Raw genomic sequence first — 26211 nt, 5'->3', positions numbered from 1 at the left:
TGTTGTCATAAGGTTTCACCAATCATATAGATACTTCATGTATATCTCTAATTTGATTCTCACAATAATTTTTAAGATAAGTATTATTGTTACTATTTCCTGTTTTTGGCTGGCAAAACTGGTTCACAAAAAAGTTAACATCATGCCAAATGTCACACTAAATCCAGAACTTGGACCCTGACCATTGGACTTCAAAATCTCATGTTATTTTCAAGAAAATATACCTACTTGGCTGGGCACGGTGGCTCATGTCTGTAATCCTAGCACTTTGGGAGGCCGAGGCAGGCAGATCATGAGTTCAAGAGATCGAGACCATCCTGGCCAACATGGTGAAACCCTATCTCTACTAGAAATACAAAAATTAGCTGGGCATGGTGGTGTGCACCTGTAGTCCCAGCTACTTTGGAGGCTGAGGCAGGAGAATTGCTTGAACCCGGGAGGTGGAAGTTGCAGTGAGCTGAGATCGCACCAATGAACTCCAGCCTGGTTACAGAGCGAGACTCCATCTCAAAAAAAAAAAAAAAAAAAGAAAGAAAGAAAGAAAGAAAAAGAAAATATACCTACTTGATCAAGTTAATTATTTCAGTCCCAAGGTAAGTTCAGAACTTGTTGCTTTTACCTAATAAAGTGGACTTCACTGAGTCATAACACAATATTTACTTTGGGTGTTCTTGTGTGACTTTTTGATTTCCATGTGTCTTTTCTAGTAGACTTCCCACCTTAGGAAAGTATATTTATTAGCAAATGATGGTGCAGCCTCAATTAATTGGAACTGAAGTAACCAGTTGGCAAATGTAATATTTTTCTCAGTTCAATGGATTAAGAGAAAGAAGCAGTAGACAAGAAAACCAAAATGGAGCATTTTACTTCAAAAATACAGTGCAAATCCTAAGGTCATTATGGATTCGGTGTGAACTCATTCTCTGTCTCTGTTTAATACAGCACACTGAGAATTCAGGGCCATTAAGATGTCGCCAAGGCTCTTTAAGATCCCCAGTCTGCAGAGACAAAATCAATCACGTTCAATAGCCTCTCCTTACTGAGACGTAAAACAAATGTGGACACTAAGACAATGCCCACCAGAAAGTTTGACAAAAATGTGTTAATCTGGTTTAGATATTCGATTCCTCATGAGATATTATTGACCAAATTTCCTACACCTTGCATGTGCTGGTTAACTGAATCTTTATGGTCATTTCTATTTTTTTTCCAGCTCTGCTATCAGAAACAAAAACACTGAAGTATTTCCATCTCTATCCATTGGGATGAGCCTTTGGATCAGTTATACAAAGCCTAACCATCATTTAAGGACCAGTTTCTATTCTACTCAATTCTATATAAATAATGTCAGCCTAATTCTTTCCAGTGATCTCAGATTGGCTGTGTGGAAAGCAGATGGTGCTAGTGTGAAGTAGCACATTTGTTTTCTCTATATATTTGTCTGTATGTATTACCTGACCTTTTAATTAAACAAGCAAGCAGTTATCTAAGTTGTCTACCTTATTTTCCAGGTATATCCAAATGACTACTACCTTTTAATGCCTAGGTAATAATAAAAATAAAACTGGGGTAGTGTTGTAGCTAGAATGAGATTCTACACAAAAGTACACCGGAGGAAATTGGGAAAAGTAACATCAGAGAAGGTGACTGGTGTAACTGAAAAGCAGGTTAGTTGCTCCCTGTATGTAGAGTTCAATTAATGAGAGTAAAGCCTGACACACACAAAACAGTGAATTTATTCAGAAAGAGGAAGATGACACAAAGCATCCTGCCTTTAAAGGTGCTACTTCACCTTTGGAGCAGAAAGCAGACATTTTTATAAGGTAGGGAAAGAAAGGAGCAAGGGCAGGGGTCCCCTACTACCTTTTACCTACAGGATTTTGAGTTGGTGCTTTCCTGGGCAGAAGTAAGTCATAATAGTGGCCAGGTGGGCATGCTTTACGTAAGCCCTTCTAGTGAGTGTGAGTTCAGAGGTGACCCAGGGAGGATGGAAGTTCTGAGACAATTCCCTAGAGATGAAATTTCCATGGCAGTATGCTTTGGTCTGCAGATTGACTGTCAACTCTGCCAGAGAGATCTGTCTTGGAACACACAGTTAGAAGAACTTGGCCTGTAACACCAGGACTAGATACAAAGATGGACTAAATCTGAGGTGCTAAATCTGAGAATGAAACTGGAAAGCTAAAAACCATATAAAAATCTAAAGCCAGAAGTTACCAAAATATATATATGCACATCATCAAAATGGCTAAAACTAAAATGATTGTCAATACCAAACATCAGCAAGAATTGAGGAAACTGGAAGTGTCACACATTGTTTGCAAGAATGTAAAATAGTATAACCAAGTTGGAAGACTGAGTCTTAGGGGATGGACATAGCTTGATGATTAGTTTATCATGGAAAATAATCATTGCCTTTATCATGGAAAAGGCAATACGTTTAAATGGAAAATTTTTAATACTTACTCATACAGGTTGGCTGTGTCCCCACCCAAATCTCATCTTGCGATGCAGATCCCATAATTCCCACCTGTTGTAGGAGGGACTCAGTAGGAGATAAATTAATCATGGGGGCGATTCCCCCCATACTGTTCTTGTGGTAGTGAATGAGCCTCATGAGATGTGATGCTGTTATAAGGGGTTTCCCCTTTTGCTTCGCTCTCATTCTCTTTTTGCTGGCCGCCATGTAAGACATCCCTTTGCTCTTCCATTGCCTTCCACCATAATCGTGAGGCCTCCCCAGCCACATGGAACTGTGAGTCCATGAAACCTCTTTTCCTTTATAAATTACCCAGTCTTGGGTATGTCTTTATCAGAAGCATGAAGACAAACTAATACACTTACCCATTAAATGGAAGTTCTACTCCTAGACATATATCCAAGAGAAATGAGTACACATGGCCACCAAAAGATGTGTACAATAATGTTCATAATAGCTTTATTTGTAATGATCAAAATAAGAAAATCATCTAAATGTCAATCAACAAGAAAATGGACAAATAAAAGGTAGTATTTCCATGAAATGGAATATTATATATAAGAATTTTAAAAACGTAACTAATGCATGCAACAATATGGGTAACTTTTATAGATACTAAGTTGAATGAAAGAAGCTAGATGCAAAAGATGTAGAATGTATGACTTCATTAAGGAAATTAGAGTAGTAGTTATGGGCTGGAAGGGGGCCACCAACAGGAAAGAAGCATGAGAGAGCCTTCTGGGGCACTAGAAACGTCCCATATTTTCTTCCAGGTAGTAGATACATGAGTGTGTACGTATGTCCATACTCATTGAGCTTTATTCATAATATTAGTGTACCTTATGTAATTTGCTATGTGCACAACATATGCTAACCACATAGTGTTATATCAATTTTTTAAAGTGTCAAAAGGTAACAATAATTCTAAACACGGGAACTGAATAGAATTCACGTTCACCTCCCATCTTTGCTTAAGGGCTTCCTTTGAAGACCCAAGTCTCAATTAGGGAGAACAGCTTCAAGACTCTTAAAGATAGCCAGGCGTGGTGGCTCACGGACATAATCCCAGCACTTTGGGAGGCTGAGGTAGATGGATCACAAGGTCAGGCATTCGAGACCAGCCTGGCCAACATATTGAAACCCCGTCTCTACTAAAAATACAAAAAAAAAAAAAAATCAGTCAGGTGTGGTGGCGGACACCTGTAGTCCCATTGTCCCAGCTACTGGGCAGGCTGAGGCAGGAGAATCACTTGAACCTGGGAGGCAGAGGTTGCAGTGAGCCGAGATTGTGCCACTGCACTCCAGTCCAGGTGACAGTGCAAGACTCTGTCTCAAAAAAAAAAAAAGAAAGAAAGAAAGAAAAAAACACTCTTAAAGACAAAGACTCTACACAATGCTTGGAAACAAATGCCTCAGTAAACTCTTGATCCTTATTCTCATCAGACGGCATTTGGCTAAATAAGCCAGGTTCTTCCACAGAACTTAACTGTATATCAGGCAAATGCCCTCTGGCCAATGAGTAAAGCTGCAGTAATTGTCTTTCTTATGAGTATTATGCATATGTATAATTTTCATCACCAATGCAAATTTTTCTACTAACTGCATATCCATTTCCCTATTTTAAAACTGTAAAATTTGGTAATTTGCCATGGGAATTCAGGATACTTGTGAGAATGAATAATGTTCCATTATGTTTTAATCACCTCTTATAAGGGTTTTTATTTCTCATCTGTGGGTTGCTAGTTTATTAAAAATTGGTATAGAAGAAAATTAAAAATCCTTAGGAAGCATGGTGCTGGAATAAGATTTTTTTTTTTAAAAAAAAGGCTTTGTAAGTGTCGAAGGAACTTACTACTTCCCCTTCTACCATTTAAAAGTGAAACTTAATTGACAGTAACAGTGGTTTAATGCTGAATAAGGTGCAGACTGAATAACATTCTGAGTCTTAGGGGATGGACATAGCTTGATGATTATTTTATCATGGAAAAACACATTTAACTAGAGAGATCACAATGACTTGGGGGACAATGATGTTACTTAGAAAATTGTACTGTAATTAAGGTGCTATTGATTCAAATTAATACTATGGCATTTCTAACAACAATGCTGGGAATCTAATACCAATGACAGCCAAAGTATTGTCTTTAAGTAGGTTGAAAATAAAGGTATTTCCATGTTAAATCTCATCTTAGAATGACTAATTGTTTTCTCAAAGAACTGTCACTTAAAATGTTGATATCTCTTTCAAATCAAAAGCCTGTTTCAGCCAAATGCACAGTCTTATTATCGAAAACTCAAAGCATCAGATTTCCCCTCTATATATTGATTTCTAAAATTACATTGCTTTTTAATATTTCTGCAACCTCATTATAGCAACAGAATAATTACTTCAAGACAATTATAAAAAACAACAAAAAGAGGCTAAGTCTGGGCATTTCCAATGTAGTAGTATTTCAATCACTCCTTGCTTCTATATGGGCAGTATATACTTTATTCACCAAATTTGTATAAAACTCTTACTATGTGCCAAACCTCGTCCAGGTTTTAAGGAAGCAGTGTTGAGAATGGAGCTTAGAGTGAACAGTAGGGAAGATAATTTAATCAAAATATCACAGTATTGAGTGTATAATCTCAAACAGAGATAAAGAAACAGGGCCCAGTGAGAGACTCTAATCTAGACTGATGTCTAATGAAGTGACATTTGAGCTGAGATCTGAGGAGCTGTGCTGGGTGGAGCATCGCATGTGAGAGCGTTCGACGAGGAGTGAACACAGGCAGAACCCTGAACTGGGAGGAACATAGGAGTTTCGGGAAACCAAAAGAAAGACCAGGGAGCCTGGAGGGAAGATAGTAAGGAAGAGAACAGAGTGAGAAGAGGCTGGAGTGGTCTCAGAGACCAGGAGTAGTCTCAGGAAGCAGATTAAACACGTTTTTAGTTCATTACAAAGAGACATCATGAAGAGGTCTTGTAAGCAGAAAGTTTACAAGATCATGGAGGCATTTTGAAAAGAACATCATGCTACAGTGTGGAAAACAAACTGGAGTGGATCAAGATGGCTTCAGGGACATCATCAGCGTGCTGTCACAGAGTCCAGAGAAGAAACGAGAACTTAGGAGACACAATGATCACAGGGGTTAGGAGTCCAGACTCTACAAACCTATGCTCAAATGTAGGTTTGGAATGCATTATCCACCAAAAAGAACAAGAACTATTGATTCCAAGGCTGGAGAAATACAAGACAAGCCTAGAACACCTTCAAAGTAAGAATGTGCTTGAAGAATGATGGAGTATTGACAAACACCTCATATGTAGGCATTAGCTTAAATGGGTACCCTCTGTCCAAATCTAGGACAAGTGAGCATCGATTTCTTTAAAACAATAGCAATGGATTATAATCCTTTAAATAATGTTTTATGAGTCTTTTTTTTTTTTTTTTTTTTTTGAGATGGAGTCTCATGCTGTCGCCCAGGCTATAGTTCAGTGGCATGGTCTCAGCTCACTGCAACCTCTGCTTCCTGGGTACAAGCGATTCTCCTGCCTCCACCTCCTGAGTAGCTGGGATTACAGTTCCATGCCATCACACCCAGCTAATTTTTGTAATTTTAGTAGAGACGGGATTTCACCATGTTGGTCAGGCTGGTCTTGAGCTCCTTACCTTGTGATCTACCCACCTCTGCCTCCTAAAGTGCTGGGATTACAGGCGTGAGCCACCGCACCTGGCCTGTGAGTCTATTATTAATATGAAGAAATAATGATAGAACAAAAGATGAAGGGAGGGAGGGATGGAGGGAAGAAAGAGGAAGGAAGGAAGGAAGGAAGGTAGGAAGGAAGGAAGGGACAGTTCTTCCTGGTGGATAATGTATTCCAAACCTATATTTGAGTGTTAGGTTTGTAGATTCTGGACAGAAGAAAGAAAGGAAGAAGGGAAGGAAAGAAAAAATGGAAGGAAGAAAGGCCAGAAGGAGGGAAGGGAGGAAAGTTCTTCTTTATAGTAGAATGACTAACTAGATGTAGAACCAATATTGGAATTAATAAAGTAATTCTTGACAACCACTATAATAATAATTGACTTAGGTAAGAATCACCAGTGGATGCTAAATGTAGTGGGTGAAACTTTTTTTAGTAGCTGGACATTTATATAGTCTCGAAGTATCTCCTGACAAGATACGTCTTAATCATAAAGGGAAAAAAAATGTAACTTTTTACAACGGAATCACTTAGAAGATACCACTTTGACTGAGTGACCGAAGCTAACATTAGCAGTAATTGGACAGAGCCAAATCACATGCCTCCCAGTGTGATGCACTGGGAAGAATACAAGGTCACTTCTCTGGTATTCTCGGCCAAAATGCATAGCCTGAGGATACAGCAAACAAATCCAAAATAAGGAACTTTCTACAAAATAACTGGCCAGTAGTTTTTAAGTTAATATCATGTAATTAAAAAGACTGTGGAACTGTTCCAAATTAAAAGAGACTAAGAAAACATGAGTATTAAATGTGATGTGTGATGCAGGATTTTCTTGGACTATAAAGAGAATTATTGAATATATAAATCTCAATAAAGTCTGTGGATTAGATTAGCTATTGCAACAATATTAATACCGTGATTTTAATTATATGATAGTTATGTAAGTGAAAACCTTATTCTTAGAAAATACACTGAAGTATTTAGGGGCAAAGAGGTATCTCACAACTACAAAATAGAGAGAGAACAAAATTGATAAAGCAAATATGGTGATATGTTAACATTTGGGAAATCTGGGTGAAAAGAGTATACAGGATTTTTTTCTTGCAACTTCTTTTTAAGTCTGAAATTAGGTAAAAATAAAAAGGTAAAAGAAAAAATAAAATAACAAAAGACAAAACAAAACAAAATGAGTGTGGGCTTGGAATGTATGTGTGAGCTGGAATCCTGACTCTCCTGCATACAAGCTGTAACATAGATCTTGGGCAAGTTGCTTCACCTGTCCAAGCTTCAAGTTCACAATTTATAAAATAGCAATATTAATAGAATTTCCCTCCCAGGGTTTTTATGAGAATTAAATAAGTTATTACATGTAAAATGCTCAATAAATTTATCACTGAGGTAGCGGCAATAGAGAGGAAAGTGGACAGACACTAAAGCACAGATGAGGCAGTAAGAAATTCTGGGCAGTAGCTCTTGTTGTCCCCAGGCCACTCAATTATATCACTAGAGCATTTTAACTAAGGCAACTCTCTTTGAAGGTTTCAAGTTTCAAACTAATATCCTTGTCCTTTCTCTGATCTCCCACACTGCCTCTCCAGAACTCCAACTTCCTGGTCCTCATTATGCTGATATACATCAGGTGATGACAGAAAAGCAATCTGATTAATAAAAATTAGAAAACAAAAATAAACACACCTAGACACAGGGATGATATTGTAAAAAGTAAAAAAAAAAAATGGTGCTGGACATTTTTAGTATTTGTAGATAATGAGACACCTAAAATTGATCACACTACTTTAGATATTGTGTGCCAAACAAATGCAGAGCACAGAAGAACTGGCATCTCACTTCCTGAGATATGAACACTCTATTTCTCTTTATGGGACCCAGGTTGCTGGGGGTAAAATAACAGTTTGAATGTCATGAAATTTACTCTCCCAAAATTGTATACAATTTAAACCAGTTCTCTCATTGCAGATAAATGTTTTGACATTAGTTCAAGAAAATTTTAAGACTGTTCATTCCCCAGAGCTGTTGTTGGAGAAGAACATTTTTCTGAGCTCTGAAATCATGCCCCTACTTTTCCCCATGCAAAAGGCCAACCCTGTTAAATAATTTCCCATTGTATAGGACAATCACTTTTTATAGTTCTCTTTCTTGGACTGTGCAGTAAAGCATGCAGCCTTATTCATCATGTCATGTTTCAAGGAAGAAATCAGAAATCTATCAGCCTTCAAGGCCTGAGTGATGGGAACAGGAACAAAAAACACCCCAAATTGGGGCTGGATAGGAGCAAAGTTGACAACAGCTCCCAAGAGGCCATTTGTTTTATTTATTTATCACCTGTCAGGGCCAGAAGGAAAAGGGAACCTAATAGGACACAGGACACAGCAGTGAATCCAAAACTTGCCCTTATTTAGAAAACATTCATGAGGAATACAAAGAGTCTGACTAGGGACAATAGGTGTTATCTATAGGATGACCATGTAAATTATCATTTAAACTGAAGACCTCTTGGAGAGTAAAGGGGTTACTATACCCCTTTACTGTTACAGTGCTAATAACCATACCAGCACAAGAGACATCCATCAGAACCGCCTTGGCAAATCAGGGTATATGATCACCATAGTGATGAAGTTGTTGGATAGAGATTTATTCTAATTTTACCAGGTAACTGTGCAGATTCCAACCTCTTTGTTTTAGAATATTAAACATGCAAAACAGAAATTTTAGAGTTCAAATAGTTCACAATGTCCATTTTTATAAGTGAAGCTGAAAGAGGTAGAGAAGTTTTATTAACAACTGTGGACGTGTAAAGTGGCAGAGATCAAAAGTCTTTTTTGGTATTGTTAGTTCAGCTGCGAGCCTGGGATTTATGTTTCCAAAACAGTGCATCTGATAAGAGAAGCCAGCGTAGCCTACACTCAGAAGGTTATGACATTTTCTGTATACTTATCACATTCAACTTTTTAAAAAATGGACTCAATTATCATATCCTGAGCTTACTGCTCACCTTCATTTGTCAGACCATGATGCATGAGTAGAAGTTACACTTATTGAAATGAAGACCCAAACCTAGAGCCCAAAGGCCATCCCACCCATGGGTACCCATGCTTGTGCATGAAGCAAGACAGATGGACTCCAACTCACAACATGACTGAAGCAAGTATACCAGGACCTACAGAGAAACTACATGCACATAGAATAGCTCTGGGGAGAAGCATGTGTCAGCATATTACAAATAGCAGTGGAGGAAGGCTTGAATGCATTCCTCAAGAACATCATCCTCAAGTTGGGTTCCAAGATGGCTGAATAGGAACAGCTCCGGTCTGCAGCTCCCAGCGTGATCAATGCAGAAGACGGGTGATTTCTGCATTTCCAACTGAGGTACCTGGTTCATCTCAATGGGACTGGTTGGACAGTGGGTGCAGCCCACAGAGGACAAGCCAAAGCAGGGCAGGATGTCACCTCACCTGGGAAGCATAAGGGGTCAGGGGATTTCCCTTTCCTAGCCAAGGGAAGCTGTAACAGACTGTACCTGGAAAAACGGGTCACGTCTGCCCAAATACCGTGCTTTTCCCAAGGTCTTAGCAACTGGCAGACAAGGAAATTCTCTCCCATGCCTGGCTCGGTGGGTCCCACACCCACAGAGCCTTGCTCACTGCTAGCGCAGCAGTCTGAGATTGAACTGCGAGGTGGCAGCCTGGCTGGGGGAGGGGCGTCCACCATTGCTGAGGCTTGAGTAGGTAGACAAAGGGCCAGGAAGCTCAAACTGGGCTGAGCCCACTGCAGCTCAGCAAGGCCTACTGCCTCTTTAGACTCCACCTCTGTGGGCAGGATATAGCTGAACAAAAGGCAACAAGCAACTTCTGCAGACTTAAAAGTCCATGTCTGACAGCTCTGAAGAGAGTAGTGGTTCTCCTAGCACAGCGTTTGAGCTCTGAGAACGGACAGACTGCCTCCTAAAGTGGGTCCCTGACCCCTGTATAGCCTAACTGGGAGACACCTCCAAGTAGGGGCCAGTAGACACCTCACACAGGCAGGTGATGCTCTGGGATGAAGCTTCCAGAGGAAGGATCAGGCAGCAATGTTTGCTGTTCTACAATATTGGCTGTTCTGCAGCCTCAGCTGGTGATACCCACACAAACAGGGTCTGGAATGGACCTCCAGCAAACTCCAACAGACCTGCAGCTGAGGGACCTGACTGTTAGAAGGAAAACTAACAAATGGAAAGGAATAGCATCAGGATATCTACACCAAAACCCCATCTGTAGGTCACTGACATCAAACACCAAAGGTAGATAAAACCACAAAGATGGGGAAAAACCAGAGCAGAAAAGCTGAAAATTCTAAAAACTAGAGCGCCTCTTCTCCTCCAAAGGATTGCAGCTCCTCACCAGCAAAGGATGGAGAATGACTTTGACGAGTTGACAGAAGTAGGCTTCAGAAGGTCGGGAATAACAAACTCCTCCGAGCTAAAGGAGCATATTCTCACCCATCACAAGGAAGCTAAAAACCTTGAAAAAAGGTTAGACGAATGGCTAACTAGAATAAACAGTGTAGAGAAGACCTTAAATGACCTGAAGGAGCTGAAAACCATGACACGAGACCTTCGTGATGCATGCACAAGCTTCAGTAGCTGAATCAATCAAGTGGAAGAAAGGGTATCAGTGATTGAAGATCAAATTAATGAAATAAAGTGAGAAGACAAGTTTAGAGAAAAAAGAGTAAAAACAAACAAACAAAGCCTCCAATAAATATGAGACTATGTGAAAAGACCAAATCTACATTTGATTAGTGTACCTGAAAGTGATGGGGAGAATGGAACCAAATTGGAAAACACTCTGCAAGATATCATCCAGGAGAACTTCCCCAACCTAGCAAGGCAGGCCAACATTCAAATTCAGGAAATACAGAAAACACCACAAAGATACTCCTTGAGAAGAGCAATCCCAAGACACATAATTGTCAGATTCACCAAGGTTGAAATGAAAGAAAAAATGTTAAGGGCAGCCAGAGAGAAAGGTCAGGTTACCCACAAAGGGAAGCCCATCAGACTAACAGCGGATCTGTTGACAGAAATCCTACAATCCAGAAGAGAGTGGGGACCAATATTCAACATTCTTAAAGAAAAGAATTTTCAATGCAGAATTTCATATCCAGCCAAACCAAGCTTTATAAATGAAGAAGAAATAAAATCCTTTACAGACAAGCAAATGCCAAGAGATTTTGTCACCACCGGGCCTGCCTTACAAGAGATCCTGAAGGAAGCACTAAACATGGAAAGAAACAACTGGTACCAGCCACTGCAAAAACATCCCAAACTGTAAAGACCATCAATGATATGAAGAAACTGCATCAATTAATGGGCAAAATAACTAGCTAGCATCATAATGACAGGATCAAATTCACACATAACAATATTAACCTTAAATGTAAATGGGCTAAATGCCCTAATTAAAAGACACAGACTGGCAAATTGGATAAAGTGTCAAGACCCATCATTGTGCTGTATTCAGGAGACTCATCTCATATGCAGAGACACACATAGGCTCAAAATAAAGGGATGGAGGAAGATCTACCAAGCAAATGGGAAGCAAAAAAAAGCAGGGGTTGCAATCCTAGTCTCTGATAAAACAGACTTTAAACCAACAAAGATCAAGAAAGACAAGGGATCAATTCAACAAGAAGAGTTAACTATCCCAAATATATATGCACCTAATACATGAGCACCCAGATTCCTAAAGAAAGTCCTTAGAGACCTACAAAGAGACTTAGACTCCCACACAATGATAATGGGAGATTTTTAATACCCTACTGTCAATATTAGACAGATCAACAAGGCAGAAGGTTAACAAGGATACCCAGGAATTGAACTCAGCTCTGCACCAAGCAGACTGATAGTCATCTACAGAACTTTCCACCCCACATGAACAGAATATACATTCTTCTTAGCACTACATTGCACTTATTCTAAAATTGACCACATACTTGGAAGTAAAGCACCCCTCAGCAAATATAAAAGAACAGAAATCACAACAAATTGTCTTTCAGACCACAGTGCAATCAAAATAGAACTCATTCAAAACTGTACAACTACATGGAAACTGAACAACCTGCTCCTGAATGACTGCTGGGTAAATAATGAAATGAAAGCCAAAATAAAGATGTTCTTTGAAACCAATGAGAACAAAGACACACTGTACCAGAATCTCTGGGACATGTTTAAAGCAGTGTGTAGAAGGAAATTTACAGCCTAAATGCCCACAAGAGAAAGCAGGGAAGATCTAAAATCGACACCCTAAGATCACAATTAAAAGAACCAGAGAGGCAAGAGCAAACAAATTCAAAAGCTAGCAGAAGGCAAGAAATAACTAAAATCAGAGCAGAACTGAAGGAGATAGAGACATAAAAACCCCTTTAAAAACTCAATGAATCCAGCAGCTGGTTTTTTTGAAAGGATCAACAAAATTGATAGACCATTAGCAAAACTAATAAAGAAGAAAAGAGAGAAGAATCAAATAGACGTAATAAAAAATGATAAAGGGGATATCACCACCGATCCCACAGAAATACAAACTACCATCAGAGAATACTATAAACACCTCTATGCAAATAAACTAGAAAATCTAGAAGAAATGGATAAATTCCTCGACACATACACCCTCCCAAGACTAAACCAGGAAGAAGTTGAATCTCTGAATAGACCAATAACAGGCTCTGAAATTGAGGCAATAATTAATAGCTTACCAACCAAATAAATTCCAGGACCAGATGGATTCACAGCCGAATTCTACCAGAGGTACAAGGAAGAGCTGGTACCATTCCTTCTGAAACTATTCCAATCAATAGAAAAAGAAGGAATCTTCCCTAACTCATTTTATGAGGCCAGCATCATCCTGATACCAAAGCCTGGCAGAGACACACAAAAAAAGAGAATTTTAGACCAATATCCCTGACAAACGTTGATGCGAAAATCCTCAATAAAATACTGGCAAACCGAATCCAGCAGCACATCAAAAAGCTTATCCACCACGATCGAGTTGGCTTCATGCCTAGGATGCAAGGCTGGTTCAACATATGCAAATCAATAAACACAATCCATCACATAAACAGAACCAATGACAAAAAACACATGATTAACTCAATAGATAGAGAAAAAGCCTTCATCAAAATTCAATAGCACTTCATGCTAAAAACTCTCAATAAACTAGGTATTGATGGAACGTATCTCAAAATAATAAGAGCTATTTATGACAAACTCACAGCCAATATCATATTGAAAGGGGAAAAGTTGAAAGCATTCCCCCTAAGAAATGGAACAAGACAAGGGATGTCCACTCTCACCACTCCTATGAAACATAGTACTGGAAGTCCTAGCCAGAGAAATCAGGCAAAAGAAAGAAATAAATCCTTCCAGAAAGGAAAAGAGGAAGTCAAATGATCTTTGCTCACTGATGACATGATCCTATGCCTAGAAAATCCTAAAGATTCTCACAAAAGACACCTACCCTGATAAATGGCTTTAATGAAGTTTCAAGATACAAAATCAGTGCAAAAAACAAGTTGCATTTTTATACACCAACAACTACAGCTGAGAACCAAATCAAGAACTCAATCCCCTCCCAAAAAAATACTTAGGAATATATCTAACCAAGGATATGAAAGACTTCTATAAGAAGAACTACAAAACATTGATGACAGAAATTGTAAATGATACAAACAAAAGAAAAAAATATCCTATGCTTATAGATAGAAAGAATCAATGTCATTAAAATGACTATACTGCCCAAAGCAATCTAAGATTCATGCAATTCCTATCAAATTAGCAATGTCATTTTTCACACAATTAGAAAACGCTATTCTAAAATTCATATGGCACCAAAAGAGAACCTGAATAGCCAAAGCAATTAATATGGTTTGGCTGTGTCCACACCCAAATCTCATCTTGAATTATAATGCCCATAATCCCCACATGTTGTGGGAAGGACCCAGTGGGAGGTAATTAAATCATGGGGGCAGTTTCCCCCATGCTGTTCTTGTGATAGTGAATGAGTTCTCACCAGATCTGATGGTTTTATAAGTGTTCTGCATTTCCCCTGTTGGTACTCATCCTCTCTTCTGCTGCCCTGTGAAGAGGCACCTTCCACCATGATTATAACTTTCCTGAGGCCTCCCCAGCCATGTAGAACTCTGAGTCAATTAAACCTCTGTTCTTTGTAAATTATCCAGTCTCTGGTATTTCTTTATAGCAATATGAGAATGGACTAATACAGCAATCTTAAACAAAAAGAATACAGCCAAAGACATCATATTGCTCAACTTCAAACTACACTGCAAGGCTATAGTAACCAAAACAGCATAGTACTGGTACAAAAATGGACATACAGATCAATGGAACAGAATAGAGAACTGAGAAACAAAGCCATGCATCTAAAACCAACTGGTCTTCAACAATGTCTACACGAATAGACCAAGGGGAAAAGACACCTTATTCAATAAATGTTGCTGGGAAAACTGGCTGGCCATATGCCTAAGAATGAAACTGAGCCCCTATCTACCTCTAACCATATACAAAAATTGACTCAAGATGGATTAAAGACTTAAAAGTAAGGCCTCAAACTATAAAAATTCTAGAAGAAAATCTAGGAAAAACTCTTCTGGACATTGGCCTACGCAAATAATTTGTGACTAAGGCCTCAAAAGCAAATGCAAGAAAAACCAAAATAGACAAATAGGATTTAATTAAAGAGCTGGTATGCAACAAAAGAAACAATCAATAAAGAGACAACCTATATAATGGAAGAAAATGTTCACAAACTATGCATCTGACAAAGGACTCATACAGAATCTCTAAGAAATTTAAACAAATAAATAAGCAAAAACCAAATAACCCCACTAAAAAGTGGGCAAAAGATGTGAACAGACACTTCTCAAAAGAAGACTTACAAACACCAACAAACATATGAAAAAGGGCTCATAATTACTAATCATCAGAGAAATGGAAATTAAAACCACAGTGAGATACCACCTCACACCAGTCAGAATGGCTACTAGCAAAAAGTAAAAAACACAACAGATGTTGGCGAGGATGCATGTAAAAAGAAACACTTATACACTGTGGATGGGAATGTAAACTATTTATAGTTCAATCCCTATGGAAAACAGCATGGAGGTTTCTCAAAGAACTTAGAATAGAACAACTATTCAACCCAGCAATCCCACTACTGGGTATCTACCTAAAGGAAAAGAAATGATTGTCATCAAAAAGACTCCTGCACTCATATGTTTATTGTAGAACTATTCACAACAGCAGAGACATGGTATCAACCTAGGTGCCCATCAGCAGTGAATTAGGCAAAGAATATGTGGTATATATACACCATGGAATACTACACATCCATAAAAATGAAGGAAATCGTATCTTTTGCAGCTACATGGATGGAGTTGGAGGCCATTATCCTAAGTTAAATAACTTAGATACAGAAGATCAAATACTGCATGTTCTCATTTATAAGTGGGAGCTAAACAATGGATACATATGGACATAAAGATGGGAATAAGTACTGGAGATTCCAAAAGTAGGGAGGGAGAGAGTGGAGTGAGGGTTGAAAAACTATCTATCTATTGCATACTGTGTTCACTATTTGGGTGATGGGTTCACCAGAAACCCAAACCCCAGCATCACACATTACACCCAGGTAACAAACCTGCAAAATCCGCATATGTACCCTCTGAGTCTATAATAAAAAATAAAGTGCCTAACATTTTTATGGGGATTAAATGACATAATACATGTATAATATTAGAAAGTGTCTAGGATTTAACAAATGTTAACTGCTATAATAATTACATAGCTCCAAACCATCTTTTAAGGCCTGGCTCATATTGTACCCACTATATCTATTGTACTCAAGCTGAGTATATATAATAAATACTTGAAGAATCTGTTTAAAGGGCAGATTTTCATTCCCTGTCCCAGAGACTAATTGAGTAGTCCTGGATGAGAATGCCAGGAATCCATGAATATATATTCATGCTACCATGTATAAAGTATTCTTATGCAAGTAGCCTACAGGTCTCACTTTGAAAGCCACTCTAATTACCCTTTGTCCACCTACCAGCTTTGCTGTTCTGAATTCATATAGCAGTTACAAATTGGCAGTTATTATCCTGTTCTCTGTTTAAGTTTTATTATTAAGATTACAAATTACTCAAAATCAGAGATTATATTTTCCTCAGTTTGGTATCCTCCAAAGCCAAGAGTATGGTACCTTTTATACATCAATGTAAGATATAAATTAGTTTTTTGATGGATTGATCATTGAATCTTCCAGCCTCCAATGCGAAATCCAGGTCTTCTAATTGAATTTAATTTTAAACAACTAGCAACAGACTCTGCTCTTCAACATGGTCTCAGGACTTTACTTGAAGTGATCTAAAAATACAGTTATTCAACATGCTACATGTACATTTTGATTTCCATGAGGACATCTTGACTTAAATTATAGTTTGTGTTACACTTCAAATATTCTACAAACAATTTATTAAGGCCTTGAGCAGTAATACAGCACTCTCAAAATCATTTAGATAAGTTTGGTATACTCCAAAGAAACAGTAACTTGAACATAACCTTGGATAAACATGGTTATAATAACCCAAGTACCATATTCTTTTATATTATATTGGGTTAATAATATAAAGTCCTGGACTCTTCATAATGGGGAAAAGAAAATATGTTGAAATTCTTCCAAACCCATTCGCAAACACAAATCAGATGATTAAGTTCAGACTAGTTCAGCAGCCGCACAATAGAATCATGTGTAACTTTATAAAAATCCTGATGCCCAGACTATATCTTAGACCAATGAAATTAGAATCTCTAAGGGTTTGACTGAAGTATCAGTGTCTGTAAAACTTCTCAGGTGAGTGTAATGTACAGCAAGATTGAGGACCACTGGGCTGGCTTCATAAGAATCTAACAAGCATAGTAAGCACTAAGCTTACCAAGCACTTAGTAATCACTTAGTAAGAGATTTTTTTAAATAGAGATATTTTTAAATGCTTTTTCAATTCTGATCTACAGTGAGCTGTAAAAACCATCCGTCTAACCACAGTCCCCATTTTGTAAATTAGAATTAGGGACAAAGAGAGATTGTTTCAAATCTCATTAGTGAGAAAGCATGCCAAGAGATACTATTTCCTGATGTTCATTACCACAACATCTAGTGTAAATGACATATGTGGTTCTTTCCTAATAGTAAGTTTGGATAATCAGAACTCAAATTCACTGGAGTATTGAAGCAGAGGAGGAAAGATCTTCAAGGAATCAAAAAGAGTAAATAAGTAACCTGATACTAACCAAATTCAGCAGTGTTACGCAAGCTTCATTGAATAAATATACTTAAAGTACTGATATGATTTGGATCTGTGTCCCTACCCAAATCTCTTGTTGAAATGTAATCCACAGTGCTGGAAGTGGGGTCTGGTGGGAGGTGCTTGGATCATGGGAGCAGTTTCTCATGTTTTAACATCATTCCCCTCATGCTGTTCTCATGGTAGACTTCTCACAAGATCTGGTTGTTTAAAAGTATGTGTGTAGTGCCTGCCCCTCTTTCTGTTCTTTCTGCTCTTGCCATGTGAAGTACTGACTCCCGCTTTTCCTTCTTCCCTCATGATTATAAGTTTCCTGAGGCCTCCCCAGAAGCCGAGCTGATGCTGCCATGCTTCCTGTACAGCCTGCGAAAACATGAGCCAATTAAGCCTCTTTTCCTTATAAATTACTCAGTCCTAGGTATTTCTTTGGAGCAGTGCAAAAACAGACTAATACAAGCACCGAGAACTGTACCTGGCATATACAAAGAGCTACGTATTTGTTACATGGAATAAATATGTGAAGACTGTCCCTACCTGAATGTGCACTCCTCTAGGGAGAATACCTGACAAGCCCCATCACTCCAAGGACCTTACTCTAGTTATGCTTTAAACAATACATTTTTCAGCTTGAAATTCACATTTTAAAGTATATAGCACACTCAAAATGTACATAATTGAAATCATAATTTCAAGCAGGGGTCAGCACACCACTGCCCAGGGACCAAATTCAGCCCAATCTGTATTTTTGTAAATAAAATTGTATTGGATCACAGTCACACTCGTTCATTTACATATTGTTTGCTTCCACACTATAAGCAAAGGTAAGTAATTGAGAAATGGGTTACATGGCCTACAAAGCCTAAAATGTTTACTATCTGCCTCTTTACAGGCCTAGTTTGTCCACCTTTGATCTCGATAATTCCATTTAATAAAAGAAAGTCTTCTCTTCTGTTGTCAAGACAACAAGAACGAAAGTATTTGTATTTAGCCTCATTTTTTTTACCCTTCCCATAGTTACCCACCTCATTCTGGAGTTTTGTACTTGTAAAGTCAGATATAACCTAACATAAGAATAACTTAAGATATGCTACCATAGGAGCGAATTATAATGGCAAAAATCACAGACTGTTAAATTTCTTATAAGACTCATGAGCAAACTATGACATATCCAATGGTTGAAATTTATGAAATCACTAAAAATAATATTTCCTTAAGGTTAAAATAACATGAGAATATCCTTATATTACACTGTCAAATGAAAAAGTCAGGACTCAAAACTTATAAAGTATAATTACAACTACATAAAACAAACTACACATTTTCACAGGAAATCTCTCAAGAAAAACATTCAAATGTGCTAGCTTTGAGTGATAGACAATCAACTTTTTTCTCTACTTTTTATGTGGTAAACTCTATAATAAGCAGGCATTACTTTTATAATAAAAATAACCTTGATTTTTAAAATATGGAATATGTGGAATATGAATTGTTTGTATTTAAGTCTGAGACTGACAATTTCTCACACACATGTGTTATATGTGGCACGTGATATTTGAGTGTCTCAAACAAAAGCAGTATTATGCATGTACAACTCTTTGATGTTTACAAAGGTTTTTCAGAAACAATATCTTATTCAGTTCTCACTACTTCAAAAAAAAAATTAGAAAGCAGCAACTGACAAAACTAGAATACCAAGTCAGACCTTCTGGCAAAAGTAGAGCACTTGAAAATTAATCACACTTACTCTATTGGTACTAACTTGTACCCTCCTCCCTCAACACCAAGCAACACCTAGAGTTTAGTTGATGAGTATTTTTCTATTTTTTTATGAAATCCCAGGAATTCACAATATGATGTAGAGGGCATTTGGAGTCATTTAAGTCCCGTTTGCTCATAGTTCTGTCATGACGCAAGCTGTATTAAAACCCCCAAAATATGTGTATAACAGCTTTCCCAATCACAGTATAACCCTGCAAAGGCCCAGTATCAGTGGAAATCACAGTTAAGGCAAGCTGGTGCAGATCTAAAAGGAAGAAGTCGAGGCAAAACTAATGTAAGTAGAGAGTTTATTTGGGCCTAGCTTGAGGATTGCAATGTGGATATATAGATTCAAGTTTCCCTGAATATACACTGCAATTAGTAACAATTACAAGTGGACTTTTAAAGGGAAAGAAGAGGCAGTTCCTAAGTTGTTTACCAATAATTCACATTAATATAACATAAACTACTGATTGACTATACATTGTTAAGCTATAGGGTGTGAGTTAGAATGTCTAATGTGGCCTTATTAGGTTAATTTATAACCACTTGTGGATAAAGAAAATGTGGTATATATGTATAACACCATGGAACACTAATCAGCCATAAAAAGAATGAAATGATGGCATTTGCAGCAACCTGGATGGAGTTGGAGACCATTATTCTGAGTGAAGTAATTCAGGAATGGAAAACCAAATATCATATATTCTCACTTATAAGTGGAAGCTAAGCTATGAGAACACAAAGGCATAAAAACGATATAATGAACTTTGGGAACTCAGGGGTGGGAGAGAGGTGACAGCCTAAAGACTACACATTAGGTACAGTGTAAACTGCTCAGATGATGGGGGTACCAAAATCTTAGAAATCACCACTAAAGAACTTATCCATGTAACCAAAAAACCACCTGTTTCCCAAAAACTATTAAAATACAAATTTTAAAAATTTAAATTTATAACCACTTGTGGCAATAGCAAGCAGTTTCCAGAGATGATTCTACAGCTTAAAAGCAAGGGAGTAGGACATGATTGCTACCTCATTTTAAATCCTCTCTTGGTCTGGTGACTTAAAAGGACTGACAATCCTCAGAAAAAAATTATTTTCTCATATCACCAGACAAGTTGAACTCTCTCAGTACCCAAACATCTTGACTGTCGTCCTATGGTTCAGCAGGGCTTAATGGGCCATTGATGCTTCAGAGGAGCAGACAAGGACCCACACACTAGTCTAGAGATGTCTAAGCCCTTGGTATCATAAGCAATGCTATATCTTAAGAACTAATAGTTTGGTGCAAAAGTAATTGTGATTTTTGCATTTGAAAGTAAGGGCAAAAGCTGCAGTTACTTTTGCACCAATCTAACAGAACCAGCCCTTGAAAGCATTTTTAAGAGATTTCGTTTGGCTTTTCCAGACCTCCAGATTTTAGGCCCAGGTCCCTCTCTCATCCCCATGCCACATCCTTGGCTCCCATTCTCTATCATCCCTGATGATGGCCAGTTACTGTTCCATCCCCTATTCTCAAAGGGCCTCACCCTCAGTGGCTAAGTGAATTCCCTACTAACATATTAATCAAAAAGAGCTCTCTGTTACACCTAAAAAGGATCTGCATTTTAATAAGGGGCTACTATAGAGCACATAAACAAATTTCCAAATTATAATCTTATTCTAGCTCTCACCTTTCCAGCTCAAAATTCATCTTTATCTATTCATTCTTGTTTCCTTCATGCCTCACCTCCTCCATTCTTACAACCAGGACTCTATAACACCTCTTCAAACATTTTGTTCTTCAATTAACCTTATCCTATTGATTCCTCCATTTGTTCCTCAAGGCATCCTTCTCTTTCAGCTAAAAAACAAACTCATGGTACTACGATACTCAAGATTTCCACAAGCTGGACTCAACCTGTATCAAACCTGGCAAGTTCCCTACCTCCCTTGGTTTTGAAGGAAATAAAAATATTTCACCTCAGAATATTCTTATCTGACCTATTTTGAGGTGGTTGTTCAGAGGGCCTACAAAACAGAATTAGCCCTGCAAAGCTACTTTTGTGGGGAAGATTTGCACTGATGAGAAAATTTGCATTAATGCAGCCAGGTTTTCTCTGAGGCCTTCCCTTGTCCAGATCTAAGAAAGATTAACTGAGAGTCTGACACCTTTAAAGGTTTGAAAGAAACATTTACCATGTCTTCTCTCTGAGGGCTGCTTTCTGTGAAGTTGCATCTACATAACAAGACTGCCTTTGCTAGCCAGACCCCTTCTTCTTCCCTCCCTATAACCTGTCTTGCCATCAAAACCTGTTTTACCATGATCCAAGCCCCCAGTCTTTCTGTAACCTCAAGATGGTGTATAAGCTCTGAACCCCAGTGAGAGTTTGGGATAATCACTCTGTGTTTCTCCACCATGTGCACGTTGATAAATTTGTATGCCTTTTCTTCGATTAATCTGCCTTTTGTCAGTTGATTTTTTGGCAAACCTTCAGAGGGCAAAAGGGAGGTCCTCACTTTGCCCCTACAATTTCTACCTCCACACAGAACCATTTCCTACTCATGGAATATGCCTGATTCTGCCACATCCACGTGCCTGTGCCTTGGTAGTATCCTCCAAGAAAATTTACAAGGACAACCTGGCCTTCTCAAAAAAGCCTTTCTATTTCCCCCAGGCAGAGGGAGCTGATTCTTCCTCTACACTACCATTGTCTTCTTCATATAACTCTATTACATAACTAATTGCATTCTATTACAATTGGTAATTTATGTTTCTACAGTCCTTATTTCAGTTATTCTAAGAAGCAATATGGGAGAGAATTTCTAGTTAAGCCACTGAGCCTTCTGGAAAATTGCATCACAGTTTCCTTGTTGTAAAATCACAATGACTACAAGAGAAGTCAATTACATGATAAATATTCTCTTTCCTTTTGAATTAAAATCAAACAAGCATGCATTTTGCATAACCAACTATAAAATTTAAGTGCTGTAATTAAACAAATATTACAACTAAATTAACTTGGACTACGCAGAATACTTCCTGGAAGGTGGTTAATCAGGTGTTAATATTGCTAGCAGGTCATGTAAAAAAAAATGGGGCTGAGGAGTCTAAAAATATTATAATGTATCATATTTCAGGTTTATCTTCACCCAATCTATGAAAGGAAAATATCAATATAATTTTAAATTATAAATATAGCTGTATTTCTAAATTAATTATATAATTAATAAATAAATTTTCTGGAATTATAAAAGTGGAAAATTTTTTAGACAGAAATTCACTTTTTTTCCTCTGAACACTCTTAGAAAAACTTATTGAAAAGGAAAGAGAATTTCCTTTTTTCTTATTACACAGCCTAGTATAATTTTACCTGTACTGGAAATTAATTCTTACGGAATAAATAAGTTTTTAAAAAAATAGTACCTGACTCCAGCTGAGCAGGACAGAGTGAGAGAGTGACTTGGGGAACCACATGGGTCAAGAAGAGCCCTGCCTGATGAATCTTTGTCTCCCTTTTTGCTGACCTGGTTAGCCCATCTTTAACTTTCCTTCATATTTTCCTGAAATTGCACTACTCAGATTTTAATTGGGGTTAATATAAGTAAAGACTGTTTGGAGTTTTGAGGGATAAGAGAGGTAGGTATTGCTCATGTATATATCAGTGGCAGAGTTACGAAATGAACCTAACTTAATAAAAACAAATTCATATTGAGATAGTTAAGAAGCTCTTAATTCTCCAAATTAGAGGATTAATTCTCTTAAATCAGCAACTTTGTTGTATACAGCTTGACACAGCTATATTAAATTGGCTTGAAAGTTATTGAGGAAAGAAAGTTGTATTCTTGAAGAGAGAGGAGATCAAGTTAGAAAGCTGAAGTGGGCAACTTCAGTGGGAAACTTTGGCAAACAGAGTTGTTCTTAACAGCATTTTTTACCCCTTATGTAGTCTCTCTCTCTCTCTCTCTCTCTCTCTCTGTCTCTCTCTCATTTTGGTATTTTGTAGCTGTATAATATCTTGACCATTAGAGGTGCGAAAACCTGGAAATACTTCACTATGACAAATTTTGGACTGGCAGTGTGTACTCCAATGTGATCAGGATTTTTATGCCATTTATAATATAATATATAATATATAAACCATAAATGCAATTTTAAAGAAATTAAAACTTATTTCAATGGGAATCAAAGCTACTTAGGTTTGGCTTAGTGCCATGGTAAGCAAAATTCTAAGATGCTTTCATGCTCTCCATCCTCTGGTGCAGGTACCTGTATAACCCCTCTTTAAATGCAAGTAGGACCTGTGACTTGCTTCTACCCAGTAAATATGGCAAATGTGGTAGGATCTTGCCCCCATGATTTATTTATTTATGCTGTGTAAGAATGTCCTAACAAACTGGAGAGAGACATTCTCCTGCTGACCCTGAAATGCAAACAACCATGCCGTTAACTGCATATGGAGAGAATCATGTGGCAGTGAACAGCCAAAAGCTTTAAGACCTGAAGGTAGCCAACAGCCAATAAGGAGCCAGGCTCTCAGTCACACAGCCTCAAGGAAATGGATTCTGTAAATGTACTAAGTGAATTTGAAAGCAGATTCTTCTTCAGTCAAACCTCCTGATAAGAACACAGCCCAGCTGGTATTGAAGACCCTAATTAGAAGACTCAGCTATGTCCAGACTCCTGCCTCACACACATTGCAACATAATAAATATGTACGATTTTAAGCCACTAATTTTGTGGTAATATGTGATACAGCATAGAAAACTGATGCAAGTATCTTTCTTCAAATTGGATCCCTCTATATACATAAAAGGGGCATAGTTATGAGATTTACATGCTCAAATACTCTACACTAGCTGCTGGCAATGCTCCTGGTCACCAGATAAATCCTCATAGGCCTGTTTGGTTTTTTATCTTTCTTTATTTAATTTATTTATCTGCTTTTCTTTTTTTTTTATTCTTTTTTTCATGTTTTAATATAACTCATACAGCTTGGGCTTTGTGATTTTAATAAAAGAAATATAATTAAAATATTTCCTTTGATGAGTTCATCCCAGTTTTATGTCCCCTCTCAATTTATACATGTGCATAGGTCTATTTCTTCCACTCTGTTATCTTTGATTTTAAAATGTGAAGTTTCCAAGAACTTCAATGACTTGCTTAGCTATTTTCAGTGCAGTAGGTGAGGAATAAAACAGAGTTCAGGATAACCTTCACAATTCCTTCTCATACTTATAATCTCTCCTCCTACACTGGTGTTAATTCTGAAAATAATGACAGTCATAAGCACAGGTGTAATATTTATCAAAATGCTCTCTTATCTTTTTCTGTCTCTTTGGATGCTCACAACCACATTTGAAATAGGTAGAGCAACAGAATTTGCTTATGTGGGGTTTTTTATTTGAAATAGATAAAGCAGCATTATTTGTTTGCTTGGGCATTATAATTTTGGCTCTCATTAAAGAAATATTTACAAGTATTTTCCAAATTATTATTTATTCAGGTGTTTGCATATTGAAATTTTTAATGTAAAAAGTTTTTGTATACTTTTATGTAAAAAAAGGAATGCCACTGTTTTTAATGTAAAAAGAGAGAAAACTGAAGAAGAAAACTTAGATGACTATACCAAGGCATTATAGCAAGTTTGCAGCAGAGAGAAGACTAAAATTCTGGATTCCTGATTCAAAATCCAATTTTCTTTTGCTGTTTCTATCTGAATTCATTAGGGAATTATTGTGAAGATAAAACGAGAAAGGATTTTGCAAAGCAGAGGAATCTTGGAAATTTAATATGAAATTAAACAAGTAGAAAACCATTTCTGAAGCAAGAAAGATTTATATGATGGTTACAGTATGATTTGACCGAGCTGGAATACTATGTGACTGTTACTGACATTTATATCTCCACAGCTAATATCAATGTAAAGATCCTACTTATTTACCTATGCTCAGAAATTATGATGAGCAGAAAGAGAGTTTTTTCCATGCCCCTGTTACATTTACTCAGCCCCAGAATATAGTAAAGTGGCAAGACGTGTGTTCTCTGACGATTCTAGAAACTAATTAGAAATGAAAATGAGTTCTCAGACTTAGGAGGCTAATAGCCTTGTCTATTTTGAAAAATGTAAAATTCCTGTGTGTTCCAACAGACTTTTTTTTTTTCCAATTCACTCTAAGAAGCAACAGAATCATGCATCATTAGGCTGGACAAGGAGATGATAAACAACATTGTTATGGCTCTGTAGTTGCTAGGTTGCTAAAGGCTCCAAAGAGGTAACTCTCATTATTTGACATAGACAAGTTGCTAAATGAGTGTCAAGGCAATTGTTGATGCCTGAAGTGGTTGAAGCAACCCACAGCATATTTACCATTCCGAGAATGCTGTCTGTGTTTCTCCAAGGATGCAGCCTGTTTCATTGTGCTTGCTGCTTTCAGCTTCTCCTTATTCAAGCACATCCAGGTCTTTTTCTTTCAATACCATTTTCATCCTACCATTTCCTATCCATGCAAAGGCACAAAATGGTTACCAACTGCATAAAAATAAAAGTTTAAATTCCTAAATATGCCTTTCAAGTTATACTGAAATCTATTCACAATCATCTCTCTATTGTTATGGTCTCAACTCTCCCAAAACAACCCAATAACCTGGACTAAGTTTCTCTGATCACAGCATATATAGTCACACTTTCACAACTTATCTGCCTCACAATTCCCATCACTCTTTCTATTACCATTCTTTTTTTTTTTTTTTAAGGCCTCTCCCATGAATTCTTTTCTGACTTTCCCTGTCTATTGTGATTATCCCATTCTCTTAATTAGATAACACATATTCTCCAGAAGGCTACGGTAGATGCTCATGTTTTCATATTTTAATTCTCATACTAGAGTATAAGCATCTTAAAAAAGAAACTTTGTTGTATAC

At 37.5% G+C, this 26211-nt stretch overlaps 1 long non-coding RNA gene across 4 annotated transcripts in view, besides 1 other annotated feature; it reads right to left on the bottom strand.

Moving 5' to 3' along the window:
- LINC00907 (long intergenic non-protein coding RNA 907) overlaps positions 1-26211 on the bottom strand; it is a 504759-nt gene that overhangs the window by 300075 nt on the left and 178473 nt on the right. The window lies entirely within an intron of this gene.
- Positions 3758-3935: a silencer, noted in NCBI's record as "fragment chr18:39967382-39967559 (GRCh37/hg19 assembly coordinates)". NCBI's record gives its function as "represses an EF-1alpha promoter that drives an FKBP-Casp9 reporter gene in an ReSE screen in K562 erythroleukemia cells {active_cell/tissue: K562}" and the evidence as "EXISTENCE:reporter gene assay evidence [ECO:0000049][PMID:32094911]".

The sequence above is a fragment of the Homo sapiens genome, chromosome 18 (genome assembly GCF_000001405.40).
Source record: "Homo sapiens chromosome 18, GRCh38.p14 Primary Assembly".
NCBI classification, from domain to species: domain Eukaryota; kingdom Metazoa; phylum Chordata; class Mammalia; order Primates; family Hominidae; genus Homo; species Homo sapiens.
The sequence above is the reverse complement of the archived record's forward strand: the minus strand, read 5'-3'. Positions and strand labels throughout refer to the sequence as shown.